Genomic DNA, 24,887 nt, shown 5'->3' on the forward strand with positions numbered 1-24,887 from the left:
TAGCAATGAGCGAGGCTCCGTGGGTGTAGGACCCTCTGGGCCAGGTGTGGGATATAATCTCCTGGTGTGCCATTTGCTAAGACCATTGGAAAAGTGCAGTATTAGGGTGGGAGTGACCCAATTTTCCAGGTGTCATCTGTCACCCCTTTCTTTGACTAGGAAAGGGAATTCCCTGACCCCTTGTGCTTCCCAGGTGAGGCAATGCCTCACCCTGCTTCGGCTCATGCTCGGTGCACTGCACCCACTGTCCTGCACCCACTTTCTGACACTCCCCAGTGAGATGAACCTGGTACCTCGGTTGGAAATGCAGAAATCACCCGTCTTCTGCATCGTTCATGCTGGGTAACAGTTTTTATTAAGAAATAAAAATGTATGTGTTAAGATAAAGGGAGTGAGAGGCTATCAGTTTGGGAAGGGGAGACTTTGTGGCCTGCAAGATTTTAGTGACTCCATCTTCATTCTTAGAAAAACTGTTTTGTATTACTGCTCTTTGTAGGCATGCAGCCAAAATACACGGATGCAATTGAAAGAAACAAGGGTTGTTCTTTGCTGGGAAAAATGCTAAAGGTAGAATGGGAACCTCTTCAGAGTGACTTTTTCTTCCGAAATTATTGTGAAACAATTAGTCAGAGTTGTTCAGAGAAAGGCTGTTTCAAATGGCTCTACTAAGACAAAACAGTAACTGTGATGATTGTAGCCAGGGATGCAGAAGGAAGTTGGGCCAAATAAGGGTACTGAATACAAGGAGAATTCACACAGAAGGTCGTTCATGTTGAGGACATTTTTGTTTGTTTGTTTTTCTTTTCTTTTTTTTGAAACAGTCTTCCCCTGTGGCCCAGTCTGGAGTGCAGTGGTACAATCTCAGCTGCCTGTAACCTCTGCCTCCTGAGTTCAAGTGATTCTCCTGCCTCAGCCTCCTGAGTAGCTGAGATTACAGTTGCGCACCACCATACTCAGCTTATTTTTGTATTTTTAGTAGAGATGAGGTTTCACCATGTTGGCCAGGCTGGTCTTGAACTCCTGGCCTCAGGTGATCCACCCACCTTGGCCTTTCAAAGCATTGGGTTTACAGGCGTGAGCCACTGTGCCTGGCCTTGAAATTTTTTTTTTTTTTTTTGAGCCGGAGTCTTGCTTTGTTGCCCGGGCTGGAGTGCAGTGGCATGATCTTGGCTCACTGCAAGCTCCGCATTCCGGGTTCACGCCATTCTCCTGCCTCAACCTCCCGAGTAGCTGGGACTACAGGCACCCGCCACCACGCTTGGCTAATTTTTTTGTATTTTTAGTAGAGACGAGGTTTCACTGTGTTAGCCATGGTGGTCTCGATCTCCTGACCTCATGATCTGCTTGTCTCGGCCTCCCAAAGTGCTGGGATTACAGGCGTGAGCCACTGCACCCGGCCTGGCCAGGAAATATTTTTAGATTAATCCTGTGGATGAACTGAGGAGGTGGTATTGGTTAAGTCCAAAATTCTCGGGTAGCCAGCAATGGGTCATAGTCTACTCACAATCAGCGTTTCTATGGACATTCTGAAAATTTAACTTCTTTCACAGGGACAGAAAATAAAGAGATCCCATCTTTGGGAAATACTACATGTCCCTATTAGGATCTGGCTCCTAAGACTAGTTTTGTACTCATTTTGCAAAACTGCATGTATTCTGCAAAGCCGTCTCTCTCCCAAATATAACAGTATCTGTAATAACAACAAAACATTTTTAAAAACTGCGTTTGTTCTTTTTTACTGCATTTTTTCCTGCATATTAAATCTTTGAGAACTGTGTTGGAACTATATTGCCTTACGGAGTAGTAACATTCTATGTAAGCCAAGAGTGGCATGCAGTAATAAAATGTAGTGGCCATCTTCAAGGGAGTTTTATCCTTTGTGGTATCAAGTACCAGACTCTGTGTTACCAGACTAGTAACACATAGAGTTACTACTCATAGTTACTACTCAGTAAGTATGTAACTCAGTAAGGCAATATAAAGATGACTTTTATTAAGGGATGCAAGATAATGTAAACATGTAAACAGGAACTGGCAAACTGTTCAGTAAGGATCACTGGACTGCAATTTCTATTCTAAAGCTCATTTTAAGTAGAAGCTTCTCTTAACTTAGAGAAGTAAAATTCATATGGTTGATGGATTTCAATAGATTTCTCTCTTTTTATATTTCACTAGGATTCTATTTTTCCTACATTTTCTTATACAAACTTTTTCATGTTGACAGATATTTTAAAAATGAATATTGATATTTACATATTCCAAACCCTAGTAAGAATTAGTAGATAAATTTATAGAAGTTCATAAGGAGATATTTGTCGAGACAGTTTCCTATACATTTTCTAGGAAGAAATATTTGATTTTAAGTATTTTGGGGGTTACTGGGAATTTGCACGTCATGTTACATCAGAAAAAACACTGCAAAAACCTAAAAACAGAATGCTGAGAATAGAACCTGAAAGGAGGGCAAGAAGAAGAGATTCTTACATGGGTTTAGGTAATTTGAGGTATCATACTATCACTAAGAGTTTTTGTATTATTTGAGATACATCAAGTAATTGTTATTTTTCTTTTTACAGATACCCATAATTGTGTTGTAACTTCTTCTGGCTATAAACCTGAGCACTGATGCTTGACCTATTGTAAGTAAGAAAGTCATATATGGGCCGGGTACAGTGGCTCACGCCTGTAATCCCAGCACTTTGGGAGGCCGAGGCTGGCAGATCACAAGGTCAAGAGATCACGACCACCCTGGCCAACATGGTGAAACCCCATCTCTACTAAAAATACAAAAATTAGCTGGGCGTGGTGGCGTGCGCCTGTAGTCCCAGCTACTCGGGAGGCTGAGGCAGGAGAATCACTTGAACTCAGGAGGCGGAGGTTGCAGTGAACCGAGATCACGCCACTGCACTCCAGCCTGGGTAACAGAGTGAGACTTTGTCTCAAAAATAAAAATAAAATAAAGTCATATATGGCAAAAACCAGTCTTGTATTTTGACCTCTTTTGTTTTTTCTTTTCTTTTTTTCCTTTTTCTTGAGACAGAGTCTTGCTCTATCACCAGGCTGGAGTGCACTGGCGTCATCTTGGCTCACTGCAATCTCTACCTCCCAGGTTCAAGCAATTCTCCTGCCTCAGCCTCCCGAGTAGCTGGGACTACAGGCATGCACCACCATTCCCAGCTAATTTTTGTATTTTCAGTAGAGACAGGGTTTCACCATGTTGGCCAGGCTGGTCTTGAACTCCTGACCTCAAGTGATCTGCCTGTCTCGGCTTCTCAAAGTGCGGGGATTACAGGCGTGAGCCACTGCATTGGCCTATTTTTACCTCCTTTCTGTCTTTACTTTAAGAAAAAAAGATTTAAATCATAAATAGTTAGGGATAGAAAAACCTTTTTGTTCTGTAAGTGAATATCCTGACTTGTTTTGAATTGATAAACTGCCTAAGTTTAGCTTCAGCAATTTAAACTCCCAGAGTTCTTCTTGTGATACTGGTGGGTACTCAATAAATGATTGCTATTGTTGTTGTTGGTAAAATAGGTGAAAAATGAGCGTGGAGATGCATTTTCCCCCTTTGTGTCTTGATATTAAAGTTTTTCTTTTCAAACCATTATAGGGACCTACCTATTTGTTGGTCTTACAATGGTGGGTCATTTTGCATCCTATTATAATTTGCTCCAAATAAAATAGTTTTTATCTTCAAATAGAAACAAACTGGAGAGAAGTAATGAGACACCATTTGGGATTGTTGGCAACTTTAAATGTTCGAAAAATGAAGTCACAAAAGCAGGAGAACAAAAAGCCTCACCCTGGCTGATGAGATTATTTAACCAGCAGTTGGTGTTGGCACCAGATTATCAGCCAGACTGTTAAAAAAAAAAGTGCTAGGGGCTGGTAACCCTGTCCTCTGTGGGAAAAAAATCTAAAATATGTCCCTTATTAAACATTTTGGTACACAGATTTCCCTTATGAATTTCTGATTAGAAGAAAATATGAGGATATGGCATGGTAAGCCACGAGTGGCATACAGTCATAAAATGTAGTGGTCATCTTCAAGGGAGTTTTATCTTTTGACAATATCAAGTTTTGTTTCATCAGGGTGTCTTGTCCTGCCTGGTTCAAATCACCTATGGCTCACATATTGATGATCAGAGAGAGAGAGATTCCAGGGAAAATGTATTGGAAAAGTACTTCTAAGAGCTTCTCCAGAGTAGAGTGGCATGTACAGATCCTTTTCCAAATACTAAGCACTGTGTGTCTATTTTTGGCATTACATTATAAATAGGCCTCCTGCTTATTGTGATACAGGAAAAATACTTTCAAGGAGATTTACATTCAGCTCTACCATGTTGTAATATTTAAGGCTGCAGTACTTTTATAGGTAATGCTAATTTGCTGGTGAGGTTTATTAGCTTTGTGAGTCTCAGCTGGTAGATGTAAGGATATGTAGTTAGGGGAAGCTCTAGGATTTTCTTTGACAAATCCCAATATGTTAACAGGAAATATTAGCCACATGCAGTATGGCTAATAAAGTTCTCTATTCCTTGTTTTTTAAAAAATATACCATTTCACACTTTTGGGGGATTACCAGAAGCTGGATGTTTTGTGTTAAAGTATGTGTGTGGTTCACGAGTCCTCATTTTTCCAGGACAAGAAAGGTCTCTCTGTCTTCTCCTGCAGTCTTCAGTGAAGCTTCAGAGCCAAGCTCTATATTTTCCAGGGGGAGTCTGTTGATTTTTGTTATATATATACACATCAGTTTTCAATGAACAGGCTAAAAGTTAGGCATTAATTAATTAGGTGTACTTTTTTAACTTATGGAATTAGACTTCTTTCAAATTGTTGATCAGTAAAACTGATGATCAGTAAAACCATATGTGTTAGTTTTAAACACTATACAACAGGAGCATACTGTTTAATCAGCATAATCTTTTCAGAGAGCACTATGTTGAAAAAGGATTCTAAACTTTTCATGGTAAGCATTTGGGATTTGGAAAACTTGAATCTCTTTCCCTACTTCTACGTGAAGCCATTCTCTACCACTCTTTGGTGAAATGCAGTACCTAGAAAACTGTAAGTAAAACCCTATATCCTGGAAAAGATCAATGGGGAGAGCATTTGATCACATAAGAGCAGAGATGAGTTTCAGGAGGGAGGCTAAAGGACAGATGGCCCTGCAGGGTCTGCCAAGATGTTCAGAGGCCCCAGGACAGCCAAGACAACAAATGGACTGTGCTCTCCCTTTTATATGGACAGCACCAGGGTGGGGAGTTCTGATTATTTAGCAAAAGAGTTTGCTCCAGGATTAAGAAAATGTAGGACTTTCTAATTAGCTGCTTCCTGACAATGGGTGGGCTTTGTGATCTTTGCATCTGCTGCGTTTTGCTCATTTGCTCAACTGCGCATTGCCTGCATAGGTTCTGTTTAGATGGTGTTTGATTTTTGCTGACTTCCCTCCCTCCCTCCTATAATTATTAATACTTCTTCAGTGACTGATAAGGTCTAGGTACTATGTTAGGGCTGGATATATATAATAGTGAACAAGAAGGGTATGGCTCCTACTGTCATAGAGCTTATGGCCTAGTATGGAAAATGAAAATGAAACTAGTTATAATAATGTATAATGAGGGCTATAAAAGAGAAATTGCAGAGTTCTGTAGGTATACATAGGAGGGGAACCTAAGATAATCTGAAGGTCAGAGAAAGTCTCTCTGGAAGGGATATGTAGTCTGAGACCTGAAGGATGAGTAGAAGTTTGCTTATAAAATAAAGATTCCAGATAGAGAAGACAGCATGTATGAAAGTGAGAGAGATTTTTACACATTTGAGCAATTGGAGGGTAAAGTGGAGAGAAGGGTAAAATGGAAGGCCTGGAGGATTTTTGTCTCCTTTTCTCCCTTCCTGCACTCTAGGATATAGGCAGGCATGAGGAAGGCCGGGAGAGGGTTTTGGTGGGACAGTTTAAATTTTGGCAGGAGGAAGTACTTCACTGGGAGGTGGGAAGTATGCCTCTGGAAATGCATCATAGGAACAAGGATTGACTGACTCACAAAGGTAGAAAATAAGGTTAGTTTAGGGTTAAATTCTCTGCATAGGGTGGCTGGAGGCTAAAGGGGGGAGGAAGCAATTTGGGAATCAATAGAATACAGTAGTAGCTAGGGTAACCCAGACGGTATGTATAGAGAAAGGAGAGAAGACCCAAAACAGAACACTGAAAAACACTGACATTTAGTTGACAGGCAGAGAAGCACTGCAAAGAAGATGAGAAGGACAGTTCAGAAAAAGACGGTGAATCGCAGAAGTGAAAGGAGAGAATTTTTCAGGACTGGGGCTTGCCTCGGGCACAAAATTTAAAAAGGTGCCAAAAAACTCAGTAATTGAGATAAATGTTATTTTAATGCAATATTTAAAAAAATCGTTAGTGCAAAAAATCCATGATGAACAAAACATCACATTTTAAATAAAAATGGGATCCGAATTACTGAATTTTCTTTTTGCTGCGAGTTCCAATATGGCTGACAGGACACTGTGGAATTTATATTTAGAAGTCTTATTTTTCTAAGTTTGATATTTTGTTCATCTAGAAAGAAGGAACAATGAATAATGTTAAGTGTGGCTGAGAAGTCAGTCAAGATAAGGACTGAAATGAGTCCACTGGATTTAGGGACAAGGCATTGTCGTTGGATCTTTTGTCTACCTTGTTTTAATAAATTGCAATGGAAATCATCTTACTGTCTCTGCGAACATAATCATCACCTCCAAAAAAGCTGAGTTCTTTTATGAATTAGTGGATTGTATAACTATAAACTTACATTTTTGTTCACATTTTTATTGTGACAAAATACATATAACATAAAATTTGCCATCTTAACCTTTTTGTTTGTTTGTTTTAGGTTTAGGGGTACATTTACAGGTTTGCTATATAGGCCAACTCATGTCATGGGGGTTTTTTGTACAGATTATTTCATCACCCAGGTACGAGGCCTAGAACCCAATAGTTACTTTTTGTGTTCCTCTCCCTCCTCCCATCATCCACCCTTAAGTAGGTCCCAGTGTCTGTTGTTTCCCTCTTTGTGTTCATGAGTGCTCCTCATTTAGCTCCCAGTTACAAGTGAGGACACGTGGTATTTGGTGTTTTTGTTCCTGGGTTAGTTTGCCAATGATAATGGCCTCCAGATCCACCCATGTTCCCACAAAAGACATGATCTCGTTCTTTTCTGTTGCTGCATAGTATTCCATGGTGTATATATACCACATTTTCTTTACCCATCTGTCACTGATGTGCATTTAGGTTGATTCTATGTCTTTGCTATTGTGAATAGTGCTGCAATAAACATTTGCATGTGTGTGTCTTTATGGTAGAATAATTTATATTTCTCTGGGTATATACCCATTGATGAGATTGCTGGGTTGAATGGTAGTTCTGTTTTTAGCTTTTTAAGGAATCACCACACTGCTTTCCACAATGGTTGAACTAATTTACACTCCCACTAACAGTGTATAAGTGTTCCCTTTTCTCCGCAATTTCATCAGCGTCTGTTATTTTTTTGACTTTTTAATAATAACCATTCTGATTGGTGTAAGGTGGTATTTCATTGTGGTTTTGGTTTGCATTTTTCTAACAATTAGTGACATAGAGCTTTTTTTCATAGGATTGTTGGCGACATGCATGTCTTCTTTTGAGGTCTCTGTTCATGTCCTTTGCCCACTTTTTCATGGGATTGAAGTTTTTCTCGTATATTTGTTTCTTTCTTGTAGATGCTGGATATTAGACCTTTGTCAGATGCATAGTTTGCAAATATTTTCTCCCACTCTGTAGGTTGTTTGTTTACTCTGTTGATAGTTTATAGTTTCTTTTGCTGTGCAGAAGCTCGTGTTTAATTGGATCACATTTGTCAATTTGTGCTTTTGTTGTGATGGCTTCTGGCATCTTTGTCATGAAGTATTTGCCTGTTCCTATGTCCAGAATGGTATTACCTAGGTTGTCTTCCAGAGTTTTTATAGTTTTGTGTTTTACATTTAAGTTTTTAATTCATCCTGAGTTGATTTTTGTGTATGGTGTAAGGAAAGGGTCCAGTTTCAATCTTCTACATATGGCTAGCCAGTTATCCCAGCACCATTTTATTAAATAGGTAGCCCTTTCCCCGTTGCTTGCTTTTGTCAGATTTGTTGAAGATCAAATGATCATAGGTGTGTGGTCTTATTTCTAGGCTGTCTATTCTGTTCCATCAGTCTACATGTCTGTTTTTGTGTCAGTACCATGCTGTTTTGGTTACTGTAGACTTGTAGTGTAGTTTGAAGTCAGGTAGCATGATGCCTCCAGCTTTGTTCTTTTTGCTTAGGATTGCCTTGGCTATTCAGATTCTTTTTTGGTTTCATGTGAATTTTAAAATAGTTTTTTCCACAAAAAGAAACTGGCATAATAACCAGCTAACAATACAATGATGGAATAAAATCACATACACCAATACTAACCTTGAATATGAACGCATTAAATGTCCCACTTAAATTGTGCATAGTGGCAAGCTAGATAAAAAGCAAGACCCAATGGTGGGTTGTCTTCAAGAGGCCCATTCCACATGTAATGACAACTATAGGTTCAAAATAAAGGGATGGAGGAAAATCTACCAAGCAAATCAAAATCAGAAAAAAGCAGGGGTTGCAGTACTAATTTCAGACAAAACAGACTTTAAACAAAGATCAAAAAAGAGAAACAAGGGTATTACATAATGGTAAAGGGTAATTCAACAAGAAAACCTTACTACCCTAAACACATATGCACCCAACACAGGAGCACTCAGATTTATAAAGCAAGTTCTTGGAGACCTACAAAGAAACTTAGACTCCCACACAATAATAGTGGGAGACTTCAATACTCTACTGACAGTATTAGATAGATCATTGACGCAGAACATTAACAAAAATATTCAGGATCTGAACTCAACATTGGACCAAATGGATCTGATAGATCTCTACAGAACTCTCCACCCCTAAACAACAGAATATACATTCTTCTCATTGTCACATACTCTAAAATCAAACACATGATTGGACATAAAACAATCCTCAGCAAATGCAAAAGAACTGAAATCACACCAAACATACTTTTGGACCATAGTGTGATAAAAATAGAAGTCAAGACTAAAAACATGCTGAAAACCATGCAATTTCATGGAAATTAAGCAACATGCTGAATGACTTTTGGGTAAATAACAAAATTGAGGCAGAAATAAAGACGTTCTTTGAAACTAATGAGAACAAATATACCAGAATCTCTGGAACACAGCTAAGGCAGTGTTAAGCGGGAAATTCATAGCACTAAATATCCATATCTCAAAGTTAGAAACATCTCAAATTAGCAACCTAACATCACAACTGAAAGAATTAGAGAAGTAAGAGCAAACCAACCCCAATGCTAGCAGAAGACAAGAAATAACCCAAATCAGAGCTGAACTGAAGGAAATTGAGACACAAAAAACCATTCAAAAGATCAATGAATCCAGGAGTTGGTTTTGTAAAAAAATTAATGAGATTGATAGGCTATTAGCTAGACAAATAAAGAAGAAAAGAGAGACGATCCAAATAAACACAATTAGAAATGACAAAGGGTGTGACAAAGGGCATTTTACCACTGACCCACAGAAATAAAAGTAACCATCAGAAGCTACTATAAACACCTCTATGCACACAAACTAGAAAACCTAGAAGAGATGGATAAATTCCTGGCTACATATATCCTCCCAAGACTGAACCAGGAAGAAACTGATTCCCTGAAGAGACCAATAATGAGCTCCAAAATTGAATCAGTAATAAGTAGGCTACCAACCAAAAGTAGCCCAGGACCAGAGAGATTCACAGCTGAATTCTACCAGGTATACAAAGAAGGGCTGGTATCATTCCTACTGAAACTATTCCAAAAAATTGAGGAGGATGGACTCCTCCCCAACTCATTCTATGAGGCCAGCATTATCCTGATACCAAAATCTGTCATAGATGCAACAAAAAAAGAAAACTTCAGACCAATATCCTTGATGAATATAGATGCAAAATCCTCAATGAAATACTTGCAAATCGAATCCAGCAGCACATCAAAAAGCTAATCCATCACGATCAAATAGACTTCATACCCAGGATGCAAGATTGGGTCAACATACACAAATCAATAAATGTGATTCATCACATAAACAGAATTAAAGACAAAAAAAAAACACATGATTATCTCAATAGATGCAGAAAAGGCTTTCAATAAAATTCAACATTCCTTCATTCTCAATAAACTAGGTATTAAAGGAAACTACCTAAAAATAATAAGAGCCATATATGACAAACCACAGTCAACATCATACTGGATGGGCAAAAGCTGGAAGCACCCCCCTTGAAAACTGACACAAGACAAGGATGCCCTTTCCCACAACATCTATTCAACATAGTATTGTAAGGTCTGCCCAGAGCAGTCAGACAAGAGAAAGAAAGAAAAGATATCCAAATAGAAAGAGAGGAAGTCAAACTGTCCCTGTTTGCAGATGGCATAATACTGTATCTAGAAAACCCCACAGTCTCACCCCAAAAGCTCCTTCAGGTGATAAACAACTTCAGCAAAGTTTTAGGATACAAAATCAATGTACAAAAATCACCAGCATTCCTATACTCCAGCAGCTAAGCTGAGAGCCAAATGAGGAAGACAGTCCCATTCACAATTGCCACAAAAAGAATAAAATACCTAGGAATATAACTAACCAGGGAGGTGAAAGATTTCTGCAATGAGAATTACAAAACACTGCTCAAAGAAATCAGAGAAGACACAGTCAAACGGAAAAACATGCCATGCTCGGCTGGGCGTGGTGGCTCACGCCTGTAATCCCAGCACTTTGGGAGGCTGAGGCAGGTGGATCACGAGGTCAGGAGATTGAGAGCATCCTGGCTAACACGGTGAAACCCCATCTCTACTAAAAGTACAAAAAATTAGCCAGGCATGGTGGCGGGCGCCTGTAGTCCCAGCTACTCGGGAGGCTGAGGCAGGAGAATGGCTTGAACGCAAGAAGTGGAGCTTGCAGTGAGCTGAGATTGCGCCACTGCACTCCAGCCTGGGCAACAGTGCAAGACTCCGTCTCAAAAAAACAAAAAAACAAAAAAAATTCCATGCTCATTAATAAGAATCTTAAAATCATAAAAATGATCATACTACCCAAAGCAATTTACAGATTCAATGCTGTACCTATCAAACTACATTGACATTCAAACAAATGACATTCTTCACATCTTAATAGTTTTTAAGAGTTCAATTATATTAATTATATTCTTACTGTTGTGTAATAATTACCACCATTTACCTCCAGAACTCTTTTCATCTTGCAAAACTGAAATCCTTTGATTTAAAGTCTATTTGTCAGAGAGCAGTGGTTTTCCCAGCACACAGCTGGAGATCTGAGAACGGGCAGACTGCCTCCTCAGGTGGGTCCCTGACCCCTGACCCCCGAGCAGCCTAACTGGGAGGCAACCCCCAGCAGGGGCACACTGACATCTCACATGGCAGGGTATTCCAACAGACCTGCAGCTGAAGGTCCTGTCTGTTAGAAGGAAAACTAACAAACAGAAAGGACATCCACACCAAAAACCCATCTGTACATCACCATCATCAAAGACCAAAAGTAGATAAAACCACAAAGATGGGGAAAAAACAGAACAGAAAAACGGGAAACTCTAAAACGCAGAACGCCTCTCCTCCTCCAAAGGAACGCAGTTCCTCACCAGCAATGGAACAAAGCTGGATGGAGAATGACTTTGGCGAGCTGAGAGAAGAAGGCTTCAGACGATCAAATTACTCTGAGCTACGGGAGGACATTCAAACCAAAGGCAAAGAAGTTGAAAACTTTGAAAAAAAATTAGAAGAATGTATAACTAGAATAACCAATACAGAGAAGTGCTTAAAGGAGCTGATGGAGCTGAAAACCAAGGCTCAAGAACTATGTGAAGAATGCAGAAGCCTCAGGAGCAGATGCGATCAACTGGAAGAAAGGGTATCAGCAATGGAAGATGAAATGAATGAAATGAAGCGAGAAGGGAAGTTTAGAGAAAAAAGAATAAAAAGAAATGAGCAAAGCCTCCAAGAAATATGGGACTATGTGAAAAGACCAAATCTACGTCTGATTGGTGTACCTGAAAGTGATGGGGAGAATGGAACCAAGTTGGAAAACACTCTGCAGGATATTATCCAGGAGAACTTCCCCAATCTAGCAAGGCAGGCCAACGTTCAGATTCAGGAAATACAGAGAACGCCACAAACATACTCCTCGAGAAGAGCAACTCCAAGACACATAATTGTCAGATTCACCAAAGTTGAAATGAAGGAAAAATGTTAAGGGCAGGCAGAGAGAAAGGTCAGGTTACTCACAAAGGAAAGCCCATCAGACTAACAGCTGATCTCTTGGCAGAAACTCTACAAGCCAGAAGAGAGTGGGGGCCAATATTCAACATTCTTAAAGAAAAGAATTTTCAACCCAGAATTTCATATCCAGCCAAACTAAGCTTCATAAGTGAAGGAGAAATAAAATCCTTTACAGACAAGCAAATGCTGAGAGATTTTGTCACCACCAGGCCTGCCCTAAAAGAGCTCCTGAAGGAAGCACTAAACATGGAAAGGAACAACCGGTACCAGCTGCTGCAAAATCATGCCAAAATGTAAAGACCATCGAGACTAGGAAGAAACTGCATCAACTAACGAGCAAAATAACCAGCTAACATCATAATGACAGGATCCAATTCACACATAACAATATTAACTTTAAATGTAAATGGACTAAATGCTCCAATTAAAAGACACAGACTGGCAAATTGGATAAAGAGTCAAGACCCATCAGTGTGCTGTATTCAGGAAACCCATCTCACGTGCAGAGACACACATAGGCTCAAAATAAAAGGTTGGAGGAAGATCTACCAAGCAAATGGAAAACAAAAAAAGGCAGGGGTTGCAATCCTAGTTTCTGATAAAACAGACTTTAAACCAACAAAGATCAAAAGAGACAAAGAAGGCCATTACATAATGGTAAAGGGATCAATTCAACAAGAAGAGCTAACTATCCTAAATATATATGCACCCAATACAGGAGCACCCAGATTCATAAAGCAAGTCCTGAGTGACCTACAAAGAGACTTAGACTCCCGCACATTAATAATGGGAGACTTTAACATCCCACTGTCAACATTAGACAGATCAACGAGACAGAAAGTCAACAAGGATACCCAGCAATTGAACTCAGCTCTGCACCAAGCAGACCTAATAGACATCTACAGAACTCTCCACCCCAAATCAGCAGAATATACATTTTTTTCAGCACCACACCACACCTATTCCAAAATTGACCACATACTTGGAAGTAAAGCTCTCCTCAGCAAATGTAAAAGAACAGAGATTGTAACAAACTATCTCTCAGACCACAGTGCAATCAAACTAGAACTCAGAATTAAGAATCTCACTCAAAACCGCTCAACTACATGGAAACTGAACAACCTGCTCCTGAATGACTACCGGATACATAACGAAATGAAGGCAGAAATAAAGATGTTCTTTGAAACCAACGAGAACAAAGACACAACATACCAGAATCTCTGGGATGCATTTAAAGCAGTGTGGAGAGGGAAATTTATAGCACTAAATGCCCACAAGAGAAAGCAGGAAAGATCCAAAATTGACACCCTAACATCACAATTAAAAGAACTAGAAAAGCAAGAGCAAACACATTCAAAAGCTAGCAGAAGGCAAGAAATAACTAAAATCAGAGCAGAACTGAAGGAAATAGAGACACAAAAAACCCTTCAAAAAATTAATGAATCCAGGAGCTGGTTTTTTGAAAGGATCAACAAAATTGATAGACCGCTAGCAAGACTAATAAAGAAAAAAAGAGAGAAGAATCAAATAGACACAATAAAAAATGATAAAGGGGATATCACCACCGATCCCACAGAAATACAAACTACCATCAGAGAATACTACAAACACCTCTACGCAAATAAACTAGAAAATCTAGAAGAAATGGATAAATTCCTTGACACATACACTCTCCCAAGACTAAACCAGGAAGAAGTTGAATCTCTGAATAGACCAATAACAGGATCTGAAATTGTGGCAATAATCAATAGCTTACCAACCAAAAAGAGTCCAGGACCAGATGGATTCACAGCCGAATTCTACCAGAGGTACAAGGAGGAACTGGTACCATTCCTTCTGAAACTATTCCAATCAATAGAAAAAGAGGGAATCCTCCCTAACTCATTTTATGAGGCCAGCATCATTCTGATACCAAAGCCGGGCAGAGACACAACCAAAAAAGAGAATTTTAGACCAATATCCTTGATGAACATTGATGCAAAAATCCTCAATAAAATACTGGCAAAACGAATCCAGCAGCACATCAAAAAGCTTGTCCACCATGATCAAGTGGGCTTCATCCCTGGGATGCAAGGCTGGTTCAATATATGCAAATCAATAAATGTAATCCAGCATATAAACAGAGCCAAAGACAAAAACCACATGATTATCTCAATAGATGCAGAAAAGGCCTTTGACAAAATTCAACAACCCTTCATGCTAAAAACTCTCAATAAATTAGGTATTGATGGGACGTATTTCAAAATAATAAGAGCTATCTATGACAAACCCACAGCCAATATCATACTAAATGGGCAAAAACTGGAAGCATTCCCTTTGAAAACTGGCACAAGACAGGGATGCCCTCTCTCACCACTCCTATTCAACATAGTGTTGGAAGTTCTGGCCAGGGCAATCAGGCAGGAGAAGGAAATAAAGGGTATTCAATTAGGAAAAGAGGAAGTCAAACTGTCCCTGTTTGCAGATGACATGATTGTATATCTAGAAAACCCCATTGTCTCAGCCCAAAATCTCCTTAAGCTGAAGCAACTTCAGCAAAGTCTCAGGATACAAAATCAATGTGCAAAAATCACAAGCATTCTTATACACCAACAACAGACAGACAGAGAGCCAAATCATGAGTGAACTCCCATTCACAATTGCTTCAAAGAGAATAAAATACCTAGGAATCCAACTCACAAGGGATGTGAAGGACCTCTTCAAGGAGAACTACAAACCACTGCTCAATGAAATAAAAGAGGATACAAACAAATGGAAGAACATTCTATGCTCATGGGTAGGAAGAATCAATATCGTGAAAATGGCCATACTGCCCAAGGTAATTTATAGATTCAATGCCATCCCCATCAAGCTACCAATGACTTTCTTCACAGAATTGGAAAAAACTACTTTAAAGTTCATATGGAACCAAAAAAGAGCCCGCATCGCCAAGGCACTCCTAAGCCAAAAGAACGAAGCTGGAGGCATCACACTACCTGACTTGAAACTATACTACAAGGCTACAGTAACCAAAACAGCATGGTACTGGTACCAAAACAGAGATATAGATCAATGGAACAGAACAGAGCCCTCAGAAATAACGCCGCATATCTACAACTATCTGATCTTTGACAAACCTGAGAAAAACAAGCAATGGGGAAAGGATTCCCTATTTAATAAATGGTGCTGGGAAAACTGGCTAGCCATATGTAGAAAGCTGAAACTGGATCCCTTCCTTACACCTTATACAAAAATCAATTCAAGATGGATTAAAGACTTAAACATTAGACCTAAAACCATAAAAACCCTAGAAGAAAACCTAGGCATTACCATTCAGGACATAGGCATGGGCAAGGACTTCATGTCTAAAACACCAAAAGCAATGGCAACAAAAGACAAAATAGACAAATGGGATCTAATTAAACTAAAGAGCTTCTGCACAGCAAAAGAAACTACCATCAGAGTGAACAGGCAACCTACAAAATGGGAGAAAATTTTCGCAACCTACTCATCTGACAAAGGGCTAATATCCAGAATCTACAATGAACTCAAACAAATTTACAAGAAAAAAACAAACAACCCCATCAAAAAGTGGGCGAAGGACATGAACAGACACTTCTCAAAAGAAGACATTTATGCAGTCAAAAAACACATGAAAAAATGCTAACCATCACTGGCCATCAGAGAAATGCAAATCTAAACCACAATGAGCTACCATCTCACACCAGTTAGAAAGGCAATCATTAAAAAGTCAGGAAACAACAGGTGCTGGAGAGGATGTGGAGAAATAGGAACACTTTTATACTGTTGGTGGGATTGTAAACTAGTTCAACCGTTGTGGAAGTCAGTGTGGCGACTCCTCAGGGATCTAGAACTAGAAATACCATTTGAGCCAGCCATCCCATTACTGGGTATATACCCAAAGGACTATAAATCATGCTGCTATAAAGACACATGCACACATATGTTTATTGTGGCATTATTCACAATAGCAAAGACTTGGAACCAACCCAAATGTCCAACAATGATAGACTGGATTAAGAAAATGTGGCACATATACACCATGGAATACTATGCAGCCATAAAAAATGATGAGTTCATGTCCTTTGTAGGGACATGGATGAAACTGGAAATCATCATTCTCAGTAAACTATTGCAAGAACAAAAAACCAAACACCGCATATTCTCACTCATAGGTGGGAATTGAACAATGAGATCACATGGACACAGGAAGGGGAACATCACACTCTGGGGACTGTTGTGGGGTGGGGGGAGGGGGGAGGGATAGCATTGGGAGATATACCTAATGCTAGATGACGAGTTAGTGGGTGCAGCACACCAGCATGGCACATGTATACATATGTAACTAACCTGCACAGTGTGCACATGTACCCTAAAACTTAAAGTATAATAAAAATAAATAAATAAATAAATAATAAGAAAAAAAAGTCTGTAAAGAGACTAAAAATACAGAGAAATTAAAAAAAAAATAAAGTCTATCTGTCTGTATTATTATTGCCACCATGCCCTATTGGTTATTGCTTGCATGGAATATTTTTTTTATCCTTTAACTTTCAATCTGTTAGTGTCCTTGGATCTAAAGTGAGATATGTTATCTATCTTGTAGATAGCATATAGATAGCATATAGTTAGATCATGTGTTTTTATTCATTCTGCCAATCTCTGTCTTTGGGGAATTTAATCCATTTATATTTTAAGGAATTATTAATAGGAAGGGACTTATGCCATTTTGCTACTTGTTTTCTATATGTCTTATATCTTTTTTGTCCTTCATTTCCGGCATTACTGTCTTCTTCTGTGTTTAGTTGACTTTTTGTTTTTGGTGTTTTTTTGAGATGGAGTCTAGCTCTGTCAACCAGGCTGGAGTGCAGTGGTGCCCTCTCGGCTCATTGCAACCTCTGCCTCCCAGGTTCAAGGGATTCTCCTGCCTCAGCCTCCCAAGTAGTTGGGACTAGAGGCACATGCCACCATGCCCGGCTAATTTTTTTGCATTTTTTAGTAGAGACGGGGTTTCACCATGTTGGCCAGGCTGGTCTCAAACTCCCGACCTCAAATGATACGCTGCCTCGGCCTCTCAAAGTGCCGGGATTATAGACAAAAGACACTGCACCCGGCTGTTTAGTTGATTTTTACAGATAAACATTTTAATCCTTTCTCATTTCTTTAATTTCTTTCTTGTTTTTTTTTTTCTTATAAACAGAGTCTCACCTTAATGCTCAGACTGGAGTACAGTGGTATGATCATAGCTCATTGCAGCCTCAAACTCCTGTGCTTAAGCAATCCTCCTGCCTCAGCCGCCTGAGTAGCTGGGACTACAGGCAAACACCACCATGTCTAATTTTTAATTTTTGTGAAGACAGGGTCTCACTCGGTTGTCTAAGCTCCTTCTCATTTCCTTTTGCATATACTATATAGCTATTTCCTTTGTGGTTACCATGGGTGTTACATTTAACATCCTGAAGTTATAACACTCTAATTTAAATTTATACCATATTAACTTCAATAACACCCAAAACTCCTCCTTTGTAGCTCACTCTCCACTCTTTTTAGTTGATGTCACAAAATTACAACTTTTTACAGTGTGTGTCCCAAAACACAAATTAATAATTTCTTTTAAAAATGAATCTCCTAAATTATGTAGAAAACAAAATGTAACCAAAATTATCGTAGTAATAGCTTTTATCATTTCCCATGTGTTTATTTTTATTACAATCTTATTTGTGCATGTGGCTTCCAACTACTGTCTAATGTTCTTTCATTTCAACCTAGAGGACTCCCTTGACCATTCTTGCAGGGCAATTCTAGTGCCTCAATTTTTGTTTATCTGAGAATGCCTTAGTTTCTCCCTCACTTTTGAAAGATAATTTTGCTGCATATAGGATTCTTGTTGACCATTTGTTTCTTTTAGCACTTTAAACAAAATATATTAGCCCACTGCTTCTGGCCTCCAAAGTTTCTGATGAGAAATATGCTGATAATTGTATTGAAGATTTCTTGTATGTGATGAGTTGCTGCTCTCTCGTTGCTTTCAAGATTCTCTTTGCCTTTGTCTTTTAACAGTTTAATTATAATGTGTCTCAGGATGGGTCTCTGAGTTTAACCTAGTTGGAGTTTGTTGAGCTTCTTGGATGTTTATATTCATATATTTCCATCAAATTTGGGGAATTTTTAGCCATTGTTTCTTCAACTGTTCTTCCAACCCCTTTCTCTCTCTCTCTTCTCATTCTGGAATCCTGGAAAGTCTGAAATTTTTAATTTCAGTTATTTTGCCTTTCAACTTCAGAATTTCTTTTTGGTTTCCTTTCAGGTTTTCTATCTCTTTATTGGTATTTCAATCTGTTCAGATATTGTTTTCTTGAATTTCTCCATGTCTTCCTTTAGTTCTTTAAGCATCTTTAAGACAGATATTTTAAGCCTTTATCTAGTTGATCTGCCATTAGGTCTTTCTCAGGGACATTTTCTGTTGGTTTATATATATTTTTTCTTTAAATGGGCTATATTTTCCTATTCCTTTACATATCTTGTGATTTTTTGTTGAAATCTGGATATTTGACTCTAATAATGTGATGTCTCTGAAAATCAGATTCTCCTCTTCCTCAGGGTTTGCTGTTTTTGTTTTTGTTTTTTGATTGCTGTAGGCTGTCTCTGTGCTGAGAATCTGCCTTAGGTATGAACTGAAGATCTTTTCAGAGCCTACATCTTTTCCTGGGCATTCATGGTGATTTTCTAATTTCCCCCATATATGTAGTTGCTTTTGAGTGTCCTAGTCTTTAAAGTCTGGCTCCCAAAAGAGGAAAAAGAGAAAAACGAAGGGGGGAAAATGCACCAATCCTTTAAATCCCCTGGAAGTCACTTCAACCAAAGGGAGAGAGGCTTGCAACAATGGAGGGAGGTAAACAATAATGGCCACTGCCTCCCTGTTGCATCTCTGTGATCAGAGGCAGCAATCAACGATTGGAGCTCAGGTCCCTGATATTTGGAGGACAGGGTCCTTTATTTTTATTTTTATTTTTCTACCTTTTTTTTTTTGAGAGGAGTCTTGCTCTGTCACCCAGGCCAGAGTACGGTGGCACCATCTCAGCTCACTGCAACCTATGCCTCTTGGATTCAAGAGATTGTTATGCCTCAGCCTCCCAAGAAGCTGGGACTACAGGTGTGCACTGCCACACCAGGCTACGTTTTGTATTTTTAATAGAGATGGGTTTTCACTATGTTGGCCAGGCTGGTCTCGAAACCCTGACCCCAAGTGATCTGTCGTCCTCGGCCTCCCGAAGTGCTGGGATTATAGACATGAGCCACCACACCCGGCAATTTTTCTACCTTTTTTACCAAAGGGGAAATAGGGTGCTTTTAAAAATCTAGCCTTGCTCCCAAAGTTGTGTGCAAGGTTGCTCTAGGAACACATGCACAACTGCCTGCCAGTGGGATGGGGGTGGAAGGAGGATGGGTAGCTATTGCTGAGCTAAGAGCTGAAATTGATGAAAATTATTTGCAACTTACCATCCAAGTTTTCCCCTGGAAGTTGCAAATCTTCAATAGACTACAGAGTTCCAAAATCGTTGCATCAGGCAGATTGCTGGATTGTAATTACTGTCTGGGTGGGGAAACAGATTCCTGGTGCTTTCTATTCAATCATCTTCCCAGCATCCTCTGTGGCCTAGTGTACATTTTAATTTTTATTATTTATTTATTTATTTTCTTAGACAGGGTCTCACTCTGCTGCCCATGCTGGAGTGCAGTGGTATGATCATGGCTCACTGCAGCCTCGACATTCCAGGCTCAAGAGATCTTCCCACCTCAGCCTCCTGAGTAGCTGGGACTACAGGCACATGTTACCATGCCCAGCTAATTTTCGTAGAGATGGGGTTTCACCATGTTGCTCAGGCTGGTCTCAAACTCCTGACCTCAGGTATTCCACCCACCATGGTCTCCCAAAGTGCTGGGATTACAGATGTGAGCCACTGTACCTGGGCAAATCTCATGGTAACTTTTATGTTAACTTTAAAGTGAAACGAAATAATTCCTTAATTGTATGAATTAACCTTTAGAAGTTCCATGGATGGATCCTTGTTCTTGCCTAAGTTCGTAGGGCAGGCATATCTAATGGTCAGAAATATGAGCTGGGGAGTTTAGGTAATTAGATATGCTTACTAAGGCTATCCATGTTTACTCTGAGAGAAGTCAACTGATGTTTTGTTTGTAGGTCATTGTATAATATCTGTTTGGGAGGCTCTAGATTCTTTTTAAATGATTTGCTTTGTAATGGGCTCTTCAGTTTGAAGTACTGTGTATAATTTAGTTCTGTGTACAATACAATCCCCAGGCCCCTCTTTAATAAAGATGTTTACCTACATTTCCTTCTCAAGTGCTCTGTTGCCCTTTAATCAGATCAAACTTGATCTAAAAAAATCAGGTCCTTTTACTCTCAGATGCTATTTTATACTCTAATCATGGTTGGGATACTTCAGAATATTAGAAGTAGCTTGTCAGGTTCCAGCCACTTGTTCAAAATCTGGGCAACTCCAGCTTCACCTCTCAGTATGCCTAAAGGTTAATTATATTTACAGGATAAAAAAATTATTTAATCTCATGAACTCAGTGTCTGGCTTTATGATAATCAACCATGGTGGTTTGCCTGGGACTGTCTAGGTTTTCATGCTGAAAATATCCTGTGTCCTGGGGAAATCTCTCAGTACTGAATAAACGTAGACAACTTGTCACCCTATTTGGCCTACAAATATTTCCTGCTTTTCTTTTTAAAAGCCACATAAAAGCCAGATGTAAGGGTATCAGATGACTGCTAAGTTGCATGTTCTTGTTCTTCTTAATCTCTATTTATTTATTTAGAGACAGAGTCTTGCTCTTGTCACCCAGGCTGGAGTGCAATGACGTGATCTTGGCTCACTGCAACCTCTGCCTCCGGGGTTCAAGTGATTCTCCTGCCTCAGCCTCCTGAGTAGCTGGATTACAGGTGCCTGCCACCACGCTCAGGTTTTTTTTTTTTTTTTTTTTTTTTTTTTGTATTTTTAGTAGAGATGGGGGTTTCACCATGTTGGCCAGGCTGGTCTTGAACTCCTGACCTCAGGTGATCCACCCCACCCGCCTTGGCCTCCCAAAGTGCTGGGATTACAGGCTTGAGCCACTGTGCCTGGCCGCTAAATTTCTTTTTATTTATTTGTTTGAGACAGAATCTCACTCTATCACCCAGGCTGGAGTGCAGTGGTGCTTTTTTTGGCTCACTGCAACCTCTGCCTCCCAGGCTCAAGTGATTCTCCTGCCTCAGCCTCCCGAGTAGCTGGGATCACAGGCACGTGCCACCACACTCAGCTAATTTTTGTATTTTTAGTAGAAACAGGGTTTCACCATGTTGGCCAGGCTGGTCTTGAACTCCTGCCCTCAAGTGATCCACCCGCCTCGGCCTTCCAAAGTGCTGAGATTACAGACGTGAACCACTGTGCTTGGCCTTAAATTTCTTAATATTCACAGACTGCTGGCAGTTTTGACCAAGTAAGGAGTTGAGAGACATCCTGTGCTACAACCATCTGAGTTTACAGATGAATAAAATTTCAATTGCATAGGCAAGTTTTGGCTATCTTCCTTCCACTCTGGCTGCTATGGCACCAGATTTCTGCAATGTCTTCAAACATCTCCTTTCCACTAATTAAAAACAAACAATTATGTTGGAACATCAATCACAGTAACAGGAAAGAGTAGCATTCGGTTAGTTTTAAATTGTCCAATAGTCTTTTTCTAATGTCTCTATTTGCGTCATAGGAGTTTTAACTTCCCTTGTGTCTAAAGTTCAATGTCTCTCATGGATTACTCATATTATCTGAGTGTGAAAATAAATATAGTCGGGTTAATTAGCATCAATTTTCATAAAATCCCAGAGTAATTTTACACAATGCTTCCTGGGAAGAAATAAATTAAACTTGATAACTGAGATGATGGGATCTAAAATAGAAGCTATGCATAAAGGAAACAAAATAAACACAGAAAAGGGAAAAAGATATTGTGTGCATTATGTGTGATATATAGATAAAGTTTTCTTTTCAGAATCACACCTTGGGCCTTTGTTATTTTGCCTCCAAAGGAAGTCAGTCTTGGGTCCCAAACAAGCAGACTGACCTTGTGGGCTTGTAGAGAATTCAAATACCCCGCTCCAATACTTGGTCATTCTGTTTCAGTAGATCTGGAGTGGGACCTGGGAATCTCTCTTTTTAATAAACTTTAAAAGTGATTCTAGTGTTCCTGGTTAATGGAATAATGTCTGGGAACCACTGCGTTAGGTAATTTGAAGGGGCTTTCCTACTTTTCACTTTGGAAAAAAATATTTAGTGATCATTCTTGAGATTTTGTTGAGATGACAGGTATCATTGTCCTTCCTTAAAAGGGGGAAATTGAAGAAGGTGGAGTCATATTTTAATCTAAAAATATGGGAAAATGAGGACCTTTACCCTGCAGTTTGATCTTGAAGAGTAGATTGAGATCCTGAAGTAAGATCTGCTGTAAAGTGCGAGGGTGAATTCCTCCAGAGGGCATGAGGGACTATGCAAAGCAATGTGTACATTTTGAGCTTGACCATAATGAAGAAACTGAGTGGAGGAGGCTCCTGGAGACTGCCCAGAGTTCCTCGTTTTTCAATTGTATTCTAATTTATGCTGTAGAGATTGTCCAACACTAATCAGGTGGAGAAGAGATGGTTAAAGTCTCTCTTGCTCATTATCCATAATGGAAGTACTTCTTATTAGGTTCATCTTTACTTGGCCTTGTACACATATCCACATACCCTGAAAAATCCTCTGGGAAACTGACACAAGGCCCCAGATACTTCATTAGCAGAGTGGATTCCCCAGCCCTGTCACTTATGGTATAGCAGAAGATGTGCTTGGCAATTTAATTGGATGGCTGTAAAGCTGGAATCCTGACCACTAGTGGGCACTGAAGATCCCAGGAGACTTTCCTTATGGCAGGTAGAGTGCTGGACAAATTCCAACTCTGATAATTAAATTACATTCTGCCCAGCTCCCCTGTGCACTTTCAACTGGACTCTGTTCCCTTTCCATCCTTAATTGCGGTGGTCATGCACTTTAATAGAGAACCACTGGTTTCTAAAGATGCCTACAATATAATAACCATGTCCCATAACTTATGGAGTGAGATTCACCGGGTTAGGGGTCTAGTGGCACATTTTAATGTGGCATATTGTGTACAAAGGGGAAATTACTGGATTGGTATCCAAAGAGACATGGATCACTCCTGAAAAATTAAATCTGTTAAACATTTCAATACATATTAAAAATGCATGCTCTATTAGCTTTAGAAGCCATTTTTCCTGTTCCTTTATGGGAGATATCTTTCTATAAACAAAGTAATTAGTAGTTATACCTTATTAGCAGACTAAATCCAATGTACTTTTTAAAAAAGCAAACAGGCCGGGCGCGGTGGCTCACACCTGTAATCCCAGCACTTTGGGAGGCCGAGGCCGGCGGATCACGAGGTCAGGAGATTGAGACCATTCTGGCTAACACGGTGAAACCCCGTCTCTAGTAAACATACAAAAAATTAGCCGGGCGTGGTGGCAGGCGCCTGTAGTCCCAGCTACTCAGGAGGCTGAGGAGGAGAATGGCATGAACCGGGGAGGCAGAGCTTGCAGTGAGTCGAGATGGCGCCACTGCACTCCAGCCTGGGTGACAGAGCGAGACTCGCTCTCAAAAAACAAACAAACAAACATAGGCATGGGCAAGGACTTCATGTCTAAAACACCAAAAGCAATGGCAACAAAAGACAAAATTGACAAATGGGATCTAATTAAACTAAAGAGCTTCTGCACAGCAAAAGAAACTACCATCAGAGTGAACAGGCAACCTACAAAATGGGAGAAAATTTTCGCAACCTACTCATCTGACAAAGGGCTAATATCCAGAATCTACAATGAACTCAAACAAATTTACAAGAAAAAAACAAACAACCCCATCAAAAAGTGGGCGAAGGACATGAACAGACACTTCTCAAAAGAAGACATTTATGCAGTCAAAAAACACATGAAAAAATGCTCACCATCACTGGCCATCAGAGAAATGCAAATCAAAACCACAATGAGCTACCATCTCACACCAGTTAGAAAGGCAATCATTAAAAAGTCAGGAAACAACAGGTGCTGGAGAGGATGTGGAGAAATAGGAACACCTTTACACTGTTGGTGGGACTGTAAACTAGTTCAACCATTGTGGAAGTCAGTGTGGCGATTCCTCAGGGATCTAGGACTAGAAATACCATTTGACCCAGCCATCCCATTACTGGGTATATACCCAAAGGACTATAAATCATGCTGCTATAAAGACACATGCACACGTATGTTTATTGCGGCATTATTCACAATAGCAAAGACTTGGAACCAACCCAAATGTCCAACAATGATAGACTGGATTAAGAAAATGTGGCACATATACACCATGGAATACTATGCAGCCATAAAAAATGATGAGTTCATGTCCTTTGTAGGGAC

The 24,887-nt window shown here is 39.6% G+C and overlaps 1 protein-coding gene across 2 annotated transcripts in view; it reads left to right on the top strand.

Moving 5' to 3' along the window:
• The window catches only part of SLC4A4 (solute carrier family 4 member 4), a 509,424-nt gene that overhangs the window by 27,494 nt on the left and 457,043 nt on the right, over positions 1 to 24,887 (top strand). For both annotated transcript variants that reach the window (XM_024454268.2, NM_001440628.1), the window contains one exon: positions 2,577 to 2,639. In XM_024454268.2, the coding sequence (XP_024310036.1) occupies positions 2,626 to 2,639 (14 nt within the window). In that variant the 5' untranslated portion in view covers positions 2,577 to 2,625. The remainder of the gene's footprint in view (positions 1 to 2,576; positions 2,640 to 24,887) is intronic.

The sequence above is a fragment of the Homo sapiens genome, chromosome 4 (assembly GCF_000001405.40).
Source record: "Homo sapiens chromosome 4, GRCh38.p14 Primary Assembly".
Lineage (NCBI taxonomy): Eukaryota > Metazoa > Chordata > Mammalia > Primates > Hominidae > Homo > Homo sapiens.